This window comes from Homo sapiens, chromosome 13, assembly GCF_000001405.40.
Source record: "Homo sapiens chromosome 13, GRCh38.p14 Primary Assembly".
Lineage (NCBI taxonomy): Eukaryota > Metazoa > Chordata > Mammalia > Primates > Hominidae > Homo > Homo sapiens.
In genome coordinates this window covers 52,917,389-52,929,469 of record NC_000013.11, presented here as the reverse complement: position 1 = coordinate 52,929,469, position 12,081 = coordinate 52,917,389, and the positions used below count along the sequence as shown (strand labels likewise).

Sequence of the window (12,081 nt, the reverse complement as noted above, 5' to 3'; positions counted from 1 at the left end):
ATTTGCTCTTAGAGATCTTCAGGTCCCTAAGACCTGAAGTCCATCAGGGAACAGGGGTTATGAGGCTCTTTTGGAAACAAAGGGCCCACAGACATTTTCTAGCAAGCATTCTTTTTCCTTCCAAACCCATCAGAAGGAATGAGGTTGCATTGGTGTAGATGGATGCTGCTCTGTAAGGCTGGGGAGGAGTGCACTAAGGGAGATATGTCCCATGCCACGGAGACCTGCTGTGACCTCTCATGAACTCCAGGTGCCAGCCCTCTCTGCTTTTTTCATCTCTCATTCTCATCCTGACTCCAGCCCAGCCTGTAGTCCATGCTCAGTCATTTCCACATTAAGCCCCCTCACATCCTTTCAATCAGATTTATGTCGCTCTGCTACTTGCTCAGGTCCTGTTTTCATATCCCTCCTTTCCTTCCCTTCCACATACGTCGAAAGAGGTACTGGTGCTTCCACCGCCTCCCCACTCAATCTCCTTTTATCCCTTATTGCCTGTCCACCTGCCTCATCTCACACGGCTCAGGAACCATCTCCCAAATGCCATAGGAAAGACCTTTCCTCACTCATCCCTCTGACTTCCAGGCAGCCTTTGACCCTGCTGACCATCCTGTCTTCTTCAAACGTTCTTGGTTTGTCTGCCATTTTAGCAGCCTGGGTGTTCCCCACGTTTCTGAATGCTCCTTCTTGGTTGCTTTCACCAGTGTCTCTTTCTCACTCTCTAAATCTGAGGACTCCCCAAGGTCCTACCCTCAGTCTTCTTCTCTAGCCAGGTTCATTGCTTCACCTCTTTGCAGACGACTCACAGTCTGCCTCTGCATCTCTGACATCTTCCCAGAGCCCCAGACCTACATTTCTAGCTGACTCGTGGACATTCCCATCAAGATGTTCTAGTCAAACACGTTCAAAACATGTTCAACAGCATGTTCAACATCCAGGCTTCCCTTCAGCAGAGATTTGTGCGAAACAGATGCCAGGCAGTGGGCAAAGCACTGAAAATACAAAGATTAATAAGATCCAATCCTTGCCCTCAAGGCCTTCATAATCTAGTGGAGGAGACAGACTTATAATCAGGCAATTCTAAGAAAATGTGAAAATGCGGAGAGACACAAGATATTATGAGTGCATTGAAGAGAGGCACTTAAGTGAGAAACCTCACCCAGACTGAGGAGGAGGGAATCTGGAAGTTTTCTCAGAAGATAGGATGCCTGAATCAAGTTCTAAAGAATAAGTATGAAGAGATGATTAGGAGGAACTCTGAGAGCATAATTAGGCAGAATTTATTGACAGTATCCTGTTGATTGATTGTTCGTTGGCAGTGACAAACAGAAGTCAGGCATGATACCCAAGAGTCTAGCTCCACCAATCCCAGGTACCCAGTGCTCAAAATCTCAAAGCCATGCTGACTTCCTCTTCACCCCACCCCTCCCAATCTATAGTTCAAGAAATGACAGTCTCACAGATCACCTGAGGTCAGGAGTTTGAGACCAGCCTGACCAACATGGCGAAACCCCTTCTTTACTAAAAATACAAAATTAGACTGGCATAGTGGTGCCTGCCTGTAATCCCAGATACTTGGGAGGCTGAGGCAGGAGAATCACTTAAACCTGGGAGGCAGAGGTTGCAGTGAGCCAAGATCACACCATTGCATGCCAGCCTGGGCAAAAAGAGTGAAACTCCATCTCAAAAAACAAGAAAAAAGAAATGACACCCTCATGTTTGTCTGCAAAGCCATCCTTTCCCTGCCATCCTCTCAGCACAAGCTGCCACTGTGTTCTTGCCTATCTTTCACTCCACGGCATCCTGACTCTCCTCTGTCCTCAGTAGCCTAAGGAGCTCCTCTTTCTTTTTCCCCTCCTTCTCCTTCTTCTCCCTCTCCCTCTCATCAAACTGCTCTATTTACTCTCTTCTGAACATTCTCGCATCTGTGTGTCTCTGCTCAGGCACCTGTGCACCTGGAATGATCTTCTCCACCCATTGCCCTACCTAAAATAATCCTGTCCACACTGCAGAATAATATGTGTAATATTATATTGTTTTAGTAAAAACAAGCCCACCTATATTGTTTGCATACATAGATTCAAAGAAGAGGACAGGAGAGGAGAGGAAAAGAAGGGAGGGAAGAGAGGATAAAAGGAGAGGGAAGGAGGAAGAAAAGGAGGAAGGAAGGAAAGGGGACATGAATGGAAGGAGGGAAAAAGGACAGAAAGCGGGAAGTAAGTACATTTGTTTCCCATTGCTGCTATAGCAAATTACCACAAACTTGGCAGCTTAGAGATATAAATGTATCACCTTATAGTTCTAGAAATCACAGGTCTGAAATGAGTCAGCAGGAGGGGAATTCCTCCAGTTCTTTCTGGAGGCTCCAAGGGAATAATCCATTTTCTTACCTTTTCCAGCTTCTAAAATCTGCTTCTAATCCCTGGCTCACGGCCCCATCCTCCATCTTCAAAGCCAGCAGTGCAGCACCTTCAAACCCCCAAACCTCTCTCTAACTCTGACCTCTCCAGCTTCTCTCTTTTAGTTATTTATTTATTTATTTTTGACACAGGGTCTTGTTCTGTTGCCCAGACTGAAGTGCAGTGGCATGATCATGGCTCACTGTAGCCTTTACCTCCCCGGCTCAAGCGATTCTCCTGCCTCAGTCCCTAAGTAGCTGGGACTAGAGGCCCGGATAATTTTTGTATATTTGGTAGAGACAGAGTTTTGCCATGTTGCCCAGGGTGGTCTCAAACTTCTGGCCTCAAGTGATCCACCCACCTTGGCCTCCCAAAGTGCTGGGATTACAAGTGTGAGCCACCGCACCCAACTTCCCTCTGACAAGGACACTTGTGATTACATTTAGGGCCCACCTGGGTAATTCAGCATAATTCTGTCCATTTCAGGATCCTTCACTTAATAACATCTGCAAAGATTCTTTGCCATATAGGGTAATATATTTAACTTCTGGGGATTATGACGTGAACATCTTGGCAAGGCGGGGCATGGGGGTGCATTATTCCGTCTACCACAGGGAAGGATGGAGGAAACGAGGGAAGAAGAAATTCTATGCAGGACTCCTCCTCTGTGACATTTGTCCTGAGTTTTCAACTGTCTGTTCTCTCGTCCAACTCTGAACCCTAGCCACCCTTGGTCTTCTCTCTCCTGTGGTTCTCAGAGAAGCTAGAATTTAAGGTCCTTGAAGCAGAAACTGTCCCTTTCTCATCTTTGTTTCCTCTGCTGCCACTCGCCAGGCCTCTTGCGTAACATTGGCTCAATAATATTTGTGGAAATGGATTGAATTGTTGAAAACACAGCTCCCCTGCCTGGACATGCCCTTGTGGCCTAGGCTGACAGCCTTGAGATTACTGCCTAATGAATCAAGCTGCTGAGCCTGGTCCAGCTGTGCCTTTCAGAATGTGTTCGGGTTTGCTTTGCCAAGTGCAGATTATTGCCCCTGTCACCCGCTTTTCAAGACCCTGAGCCGCCAAGCCGAGGCGGGCAGGACCACCTGATTGGAGAAGCAGCTGCAGAGGCAGCCAGCGAGACGTGGCTTCGGCTCACCTGCCTTGAGTGACGTGAAACATAATGCCGGTCTCCAAAGCTGCCAGCTGCAAGGCTGCAGAGGCCCGAGGCAGGGTTGTCACCACTTACCTGACTGGTTCCATATGGCCTCTCCCCATCCCACTCCTACCACCCCTGTTGACCTGGTGGTGGTGATGTTTTAATAAAGATGTGGCTGTATGTGCTCAGAGGTGGTTGGAGGTCTTTTTTTTTCTTAATGAGACAAGAACGTGTACAATTCCAGAAACATCAGATCAAGCGTGATTGTGAACATTTAAGAGGAGCCTGTCTCACACAGAGGCCAAAGATGTCTGGTTTGAGGATCACTGGAATCTGGCCCATAATGAGTTCAAGGGAGGATCCCCAAGGCTGGCACAAGACAACTGGCTAATGGGGCTGCCATCTTTGGACAGGGCTACAAAGAAAGCCTCATGGCATCCAGGAGGACTTGAAAAGGAAGCTGCAGGGCAGCCCCTGTGACGCTGGGCACAGCTCCCAGGATAGAGGAATGAAGGCCTCAGGAATGAGGAAACACAGCTGCCAGGCTGCAGCTGTTCCCATCCGTACCTCCCTCTGATGGCCTCACTTTCCTTGCTCCCCACAGAGGGTGAAGTGCTTTCACCTGGGCTCTCTGCTCCTCTCTCTCTCTGGATCCTTCTTCCTCTGAGAGTGAAGAGAGAAACCAGGTCCGGGAGTGATGAGTGTGGTGAGGCTCTTCTAAAAGCAAAACTTTCCCATGTGTCTGTGAATTATCCATTCATTCATTCACTCAATAGGCACTGAGTTCCTCTGACGAGCCAGGAGCTGCTTGGGTGCTGGGAAACTGCAGTACACAAAGCAGGCATAAGATAACTAAGATAAATAAGCGAAATGGATAGCATGCAGGATAGTAATGACTGCTGAAGAGAAAGATAAAGCAGAGAAGATGGAGAGGAAATGTGGAGAGGGCTGCAATGTTAGCTGGGTGCGGCCAGGCACTGGTAGGCCCACACTGACTTCCCTAAGCAAATGCTTTTAGAATCAGTGTGAATCCATTTCACTTTCCTAATCTCTGAATCCCACTGCTCCCAAAGGTTTGCCTTCCAGCTTTTGCCTCTCCTCCCAGTTTCATGCCTGCACCACTGTATTCCTGCTGCCTGGGAATTTGCTCCTCTAGATTTCAGTAACTGGAATTACAATCAGCCTGAGCTGTTTGTAGGAAAGCCAGAGCACCCGGTCTGAGTTCCACCCTCAGAGGAGCCAGGTGGTGGCTGGCAATCCCCTTTGCAATAATCCACTGCAATCTCAAAGCAAGACGGACCTCGACATATGAATATGCTCATTACAACACTGAAAAACAGGGACTGAAAACTAATGTCCAGCAAGGAGAGAAGGGGAGGCTGAAGTAAAGCAGGCATCTGCTCTTAGGACTATGAAGTCACCGTTTCACATTGCAACAGGAGTTCTCCGCCTCACCACCAGTGACATTTACAGCCAGATCTTTCTTCATGGTGAGCCCTGTGTTGTGCATTGCGGATTGTTTAGCAGCATTCCTGGACTCTACCTGCTAGGTGGTAGGGGTTTCATGCCCTAGTGGTAACAACCAAAAATGTCTCTAGACATGGCCAGATGTCCCCCGCAGGGCAAAATCACCCTCCAGTTAAGAATCTGTGCACTATAATTACAAACACTTTGCAGAAATATGGAAAAAATCAATAATAAAAAATTAAAAGTGTGACAAAAAATTTCTTCCTAATGAATGAATTTATTTCTATCACCTTACAGAGGTGTATAAAACTAACTCACATTTTGTTATACATTTAATGATTTGAAGATCAGAAATAAATGAGGGTGGATTGTTCCAGAAAATCTGGAACATATTGGGAAAAAAATCAAATAAAAAATAGAGATGTTTTCTAGTACAGAAAATAAATACAGGGGAAAAAAGTCATAGTAGAGAAAAAAACAAAAACACCACACACACACACACACACACACACACACGAAAACCCTAACCTATACCTTCTCTATGAGTATAATAACATAAAAACAAAAAAATTAAAACAATTTGATTTGTTGAGGGTGGCAGGATTGTGGGTGAATTTTTTTCAACTTCAATCTTTTCATGTTGTTATGAAGTTGTATAGGAAAGTAATTACATTTTTTAAATCTCTCTCTGCAATAACTCTCGCTGATGGCAACAGTGATGGAGAGCTGTGTGTTTGGTGGGCATCTATGGGATTTTGTGGATCATGAAAGAATTCTGCCCTCATAGCTCCAGGGCAGCTCACTCCTCCAAAAGAGCTGTCAGGCTGCAAAAGGGGCAGGGGTTAGCCTGGAGGAAGAAGGAAATGCCACCACCCTCAGACAAAATTCCAAACCTCCAGATGTAACCCTTGAGGTGCCTCTTCTGGAGGGAGCACTTATTAGGACATTGGGACTCTATGTAGGGAACTGCACCTTCCTCCTGGGCTTTCCAAACAAGTCCCATGTTTGTTTCAAGGGGGCACTGCAGTTCCCTCTTTATGTCAAACCCAAGTGTTCACAAGCTACCTCTTCCCCATATACATGGTAGCACAGCTAGCTCTGAGATGAAATAATCAAAAAGTCTTTACTAATGGCTGGGGGTAACAAAATGGAAAAGCACAAAGCATATATAAAATCTAGCTCATCCCTCTAGTAAAATATTGCTTATTTCTCTTCAGTTGGCAAGCACCATAGCACTCACCTCCTCCTCCCTTCTCTCCCTCACCTCAGCATGAAAGCCACCACCCTCAACATCCCCCATGCAGGGTGTAATCCCAGACACTGTCATTCCTCAGAGTCTGCAGAGTACTAGCAAAAAGACAGGGTGGAGTTCTCTCCATCCCCATGGTTTGGTTCCTAAGAATCTGTCTCTTTCCAAAATGATAGACGCCAGGAATAATCTCTCCCTACAGACAGGACCAAGCCTACCCAGAGGGGTCTATCTTAATCTCACAGGCCCCAGCAGGGTAGCCATGTCAGAACACCCCACAACACAACCTTGACATTCACATAAAAGATGCTCACATGCAGTTACAGGGTATGGCTACTCTGCAGCAATCTGGCATTATTCCCATATTTGTGCCCATCAATTTCTATCACTTTCTCTGGTACCTTGCAGATGCTCATAACTCTCATCCCAACACAGCACCTAGCAGAGGGGAATTGCTACGGATTGGCAGTGAATTTGTACAAGCAGACAGGACAGAGCAGAGCAGCACAAGGCAAGAGTTCAGCACGCCCATTCTGGAGCCAGATGGTTTGAGTTTAAATCCCACCATCTGCCAGTTATCCAACTCCGAGAAAATTAATTTAAATTTTTTTCAGTTTCTTGTCCCATAATATGCAGAGTTGATTATGATGATGGTGATGATGATGATAGGACAGTCGTAAGAAACAGTAAAAATAAACCATGCTGGCTGAGTGTGGTGGCTCACACCTATAATCCCAGCATTTGGGAGGCCGAGGTGGAAGGATCACTTGAAGCCAGGAATTTGAGACCAGCCAGGGCAACATAGTGAGACTCTATCTCTACCAAAAAAAAATTTTTTTTAATTAGCCAGGCACGATGGCACAGGCCTATAGTCCCAGCTACTCGAAAGGCTGAGGTGGGAGGATTACTTGAGTCCAGAAGTTCAAGGTTACAGTGAGCTATGATCATGCCACTGTACTCCAGTCTGGGTGACAGAATGAGACTCTATCTCTATAAAAAACAATAACAAAATAAACCACGCAAAGCACCTCACTTATAGTAAACACTCAAATACCATTGTCATTAGACAACAACTGCAACTTCAGAGCCAGTCCAAGCCACTGACTGGTTGAACTCATTTTAGTCACTGGCCTTCTCTGCACTTAGCTCCTTAGCTGAGAAGTGATGTTCCTATCCTTAGTATGTTAAGCTGCCATGAAGAAAACTTTATTACAATTACATTTAGACTGTCTACCATGAGCTCATAAAGTATACCATCTAATTATCACTCAGAGGAGTCCTGTGAGAGACCAGCAGTCTGAGTTGCCCACAGTGCTCTAGTGAAACCCACGAAGCTCACAGTAAGAGCCACCAGCACTTAGCTGGAGAAGAAATGCAGAAAGGAGCACAAAGAATATGTTGCTTTGTCTTCTGAGTAAAAAGAGTCTCCTAATAGCAAAGTCTGAACAAGCTCCCTCCTCAATAGAGGCTCTATGTGTTCCACAGCCTTGAATTTTGGCCAATGGTTGACCATGGCCATGCCTGCCCATACTGTCTCCATAACTTTGTACTGAATCTATCATCCTGTGACTGTGGGCATTTGGACCCTCCTTCTTTCAACGAGAAACAAGTTTTGGGGAAGGCACTAAATCCACATGGTTGTGAAGGCAGAAATCACAGCAGGGTCACTCTAGTTGTGGGTGAACACTGAGCATTTCTGCCTCAGAGCCCTCTCTGGCTTCGCACTTAGGAACAAATGCTGAGTGGTTTAATCTCAGCTTACCCATGAATGCATACAAAATCTAATATGTGGCCACTTCTGCTTTCTGACTTTCAGTTCCCTTTATTGTTTTGGATAAGTCCTCCCTGTGTCATGTCACATGAGCTTACTAGTGACAGTCACATCATGTGATACCTTGCTGTGCTTCGGATGCTGAGAGGGGCCATAGAAAAGGTGAAGGCCACGCTCCAGCAGCATACTTCCCCAACACTGAGAATGAAGGTGACAAGAATCTGCTTTGGCTTCCCCTAGACAAGCAGATAAACACGTAGCACAAAGAGACAGGTCCCCTTCTATAGAAGCTCTGCACAATAACTCCATTGAGGGTTCACAGAGAATTTCTCAATCCATCATTTATTTACTCCTCACAACTTTGGACTTGCTTCCACTCCATCAAAACAGTAGTGTGGGCCGGGCACGGTGGCTCACATCTGTAATCCCAGCCCTTTGGGAGGCCCAGGTGGGCGAATCACGAGGTCGAGAGATCAAGACCATCCTGGCCAACAGGGTGAAACCCCATCTCTACTAAAAATACAAAAAATTAGCTGGGCGTGGTGGTGTGTGCCTGTAGTCCCAATTACTTGGGAGGCTGAGGCAGGAGAACCACTTGAACTCGGGAGGCGGAGGTTGTATGGATCACCCATCTGTCAGGCTCTTGACCTAAGTCCCTGTGGACTCTTATACTCACCTCTACCCCCTACCTCCGGGGTCACACATGGACTTTGTCACCAATGGAAACTACTTCACCTCCAAAATCACTCATTCCAGCATCCTACTCCAAGATGACAACCTCCTCTCCAAGCACCTTTCTTGTTTATGGGCTCGCCACATTTCACCCACAATCCTGCCACCCCCAGCAAATCAAACTGTTTTAACTTTTTTGTTTTTATGTCATCATACTCACAGAGAAGTTATAGTTTAGGGGGGGTGTGTGTGTGTGTGTGTGTGTGTGTGTGTGTGTGTGATTTTGTTTTTTTCTCTACTATGATTTTTTCCCCTGTATTTATTTTATTTTCTTTCTTGTTTATTTGTCAAGCCCATTAGGACCTCCAGTTCCTTCATCCCCTATGAGTGCTTTCCTTTCTTCACTTCCCTCCTAACCTACCCTGGGTCTCTCGCCCTTCATGTCAGCAACCCTCTGCCAGAGTCCTCAATTCCCTTGGCCCTCTCTTTTTACCGTTCCCACTTTACAAAAGCCCCCATATTTCTAAATGGAGTGTTATGGGTATTTTAGGCAAGACAATTCTCTGTTCCGTAGGGCTGCTATGCAGAGCAGAGCATTTAGCATCCTAGCACCTGGGCACTAAGTCTCAATAGTGTCCTCCATCATCATAACAACAAAAAATCCCCCACAACTTCCAAATTCCCATTGCCTCCAGTCCAGAGCCCTGGAAGAAAGCAACCCCAGCTCACCCCAATTCCCTGGGCCACTGTGGCACAGGCAGGGATGGCTCCATGGGCAGGAAGATATGTCAGTCAGGATTCTACCAGAGAAACAAAACCAGGGTATACATGTTAAGACACTGATTTCAAGGAACTGGCATATGCAACTGTAGGGACTGGCTAGGAAAGTTCAAAAACCACAGGGCAGGCTGTCAGGAAGGTCAGGCTAGAAATCTTGGGCAGGAGCTGATGCTGCTGTCCACAGACTGAAATTCTTCTTCAGGGAAACCTGGATTCTGCTCTTAAAGCTTTTCATCTGATTGAATCAGGCCCATCCAGATTATCTAGGATAATCTTCTTTACTTAAAGTAAACTGATTATAGACTTTAATCACCCCTACAAAATGCCTACACAGCAACACCCAAGTCAATCTCTGACTGAGTAACTGGGCACTATACTATAGCCAAGTTGATACATAGAACTGACCATCATGGGAGACCATATAATTTACCATTCAAACTGAGACACTCTTAAGAATGAAAGGGGGAGCTACTCATAATAACGCCAGGAAAACGATAAACTCAAACAGTCACAGGCAAGTTAAAACATAGAATCACCATATCTATGGGGTACCAAAATCTGCCTTACAAAGTCCCCTGTGTCTTACCAGGGCTCAGGAAGCAACCAAATACTCTCCCACATAGTGGAAGACGTCAAAGCCATTTTATATGATCTAGCAGACTGGAAGGGCCTCAAACTCATGAAAAGGGAGGCTGCAGCATGAAGGCCTGTGAAGAATTTTCAGTCTAGCATCTTCCCAATTTATGCAGCCTAAAAAGCTCTCAACAAAGTTAGCAATGACCTGTACATAACTAGGAGGGAGCAGCAGACAGTGGCGATTAAGGATATGGGATCTGGAGCCATATTCCCTCAATTCAAATTATTTACTGTGTGACTTTGGGCAAGTTACATATGCTGTCTGTGCCTCAGTTTCCTTATCTGGAAAATGAGGATAATGAGTTACATTCACAAAAGATGTGTTAGAATAGTTGCCAGTAATGTTAGCTATCACCACCATTACATCAAACAGACCTAGTCTATCTGTCCTGTCAGCAGCATTTGACAGTGTTAAACATGTCCTCTTTTTTGAAACACTCGTTCCTTGGCTTCTGTGAAACATACTCTCCTGACTTTCTTCCTAACTCTCTGGTCATTTCTTCTCAATCCACATCCATGAGTTCAATGACCATCGCCTGACCCTCCAATTCATATCTCCAGGTCAGACCACACTTCTAAGCTTCAGACCCTCATTTCTACCTGCCTACTTAACACTGCCTCTTGGATGTCTCAAAAGTTCTTGGATGTCTCAAAAGTCCAACATATCTAAGACTGAACTTATAATCTTTTTTCCCCACTGCAAAACTGGGTTCTCCTACGTGGTTCTCCATCTCACACAATGCTGCCATCATTCACCCTGTCCCCTAATCAGAAACCAAGGAAGCTGTCCCTTCCATCTCCCCCTGCATCTAGTTGACCTCCAAGTTCAGTCAATTTTATCTCCTAAATAGATATGTAAGAGATCTCAAAAGCATCCAGTCCTCACCTTCTCCACTGCCACCAACCAAGTTGAACATATTGTTATCTTTTGCCTTGACTATTGCAATGGATTGCAATGGCCTCTCAACATGTAACCTGTCTCCTTCTCAACCAATCCTCATTTGTAGACATCACACACACAACACACACACACACACACACACACACACACAGTTTAAAAATCTTCTGTCATCTCCCATTGCTACCAGGATAAACATGAACATCGTTGCTGTGGCCTGAAAACCCCCACCTGGTTTGGCCCTTGCTTGCTTTACCAGCTTCCCCTCATACTACTCTTCCCTTACTCTCTCAGCTCCAGTCATGCCGGCACGTTTTTCAGCCTCTTGACCAAAACACACTGCACACCTTCCCACCAAAGAAATTTGCACATGCTGTTTCTCCTGTTAGGAACACACTAATCCCACTCTTTAATGGGATATTTACCTGCTCCAAGTTCAAATTTGTTTTCCTCACAGAACCCTTCCCTAAACTGTTTTCCCACTCTACTCTCTCTCCCCCCTTTCATGTAGGTCAGACTCCCTTGCTGTACTCTCCCACAGAGCTATGCTCTTAACCCTTAGATTTAGAATGTACACTCAATTTGGAATGACACACTCAATGTGATTCCTTCATTGTCTCTGCTACATGGTTTGAGTGTGTCCCCCAAAAAGCATGTGTTGGAAACTTAATCACTAATGCAGCAGTGTTGGGAGGTAGGACCTAATGGCAGGCGTTTGGATCATGGGGGCTCCAACCTCATGAATGCAGTGATGCTGCTTGCAAAAAGGCTGGAGGTTTAAGTTTGATCTCTTGCTCTCTGTCACCCACTCTTTGCCCTTCTATCATGGGATGATGCAGTAAGAAGGCCCTCACCAAGGCCAGTCCCTTCATCTTGGACTTCCCAGCCTCCAGAATCATGAGCCAGTAAATTTCCATTTATTATAATTACCCAGTCTGTGGTATTTGTTATAGCAGCACAAAGTGGACTAAGACAGTCTCTTTCACTATACAGTACACTCCATGAGAGCAGGGACCATGCCTTACTTTGCTTTTTTTTTTTTTGGCGATGGAGTCTCATTCTGTCACC

At 45.7% G+C, this 12,081-nt stretch overlaps 2 annotated features.

Moving 5' to 3' along the window:
- Positions 3,487-3,987: an enhancer, noted in NCBI's record as "H3K4me1 hESC enhancer chr13:53499618-53500118 (GRCh37/hg19 assembly coordinates)". NCBI's record gives its function as "activates a minimal SCP1, AML or CMV promoter by ChIP-STARR-seq in primed H9 embryonic stem cells {active_cell/tissue: H9 hESC(primed)}" and the evidence as "EXISTENCE:reporter gene assay evidence [ECO:0000049][PMID:30033119]".
- Positions 8,269-8,318: an enhancer, noted in NCBI's record as "active region_7797". NCBI's record gives its function as "activates an Ori minimal core promoter by ATAC-STARR-seq in GM12878 lymphoblastoid cells {active_cell/tissue: GM12878}" and the evidence as "EXISTENCE:reporter gene assay evidence [ECO:0000049][PMID:35858748]".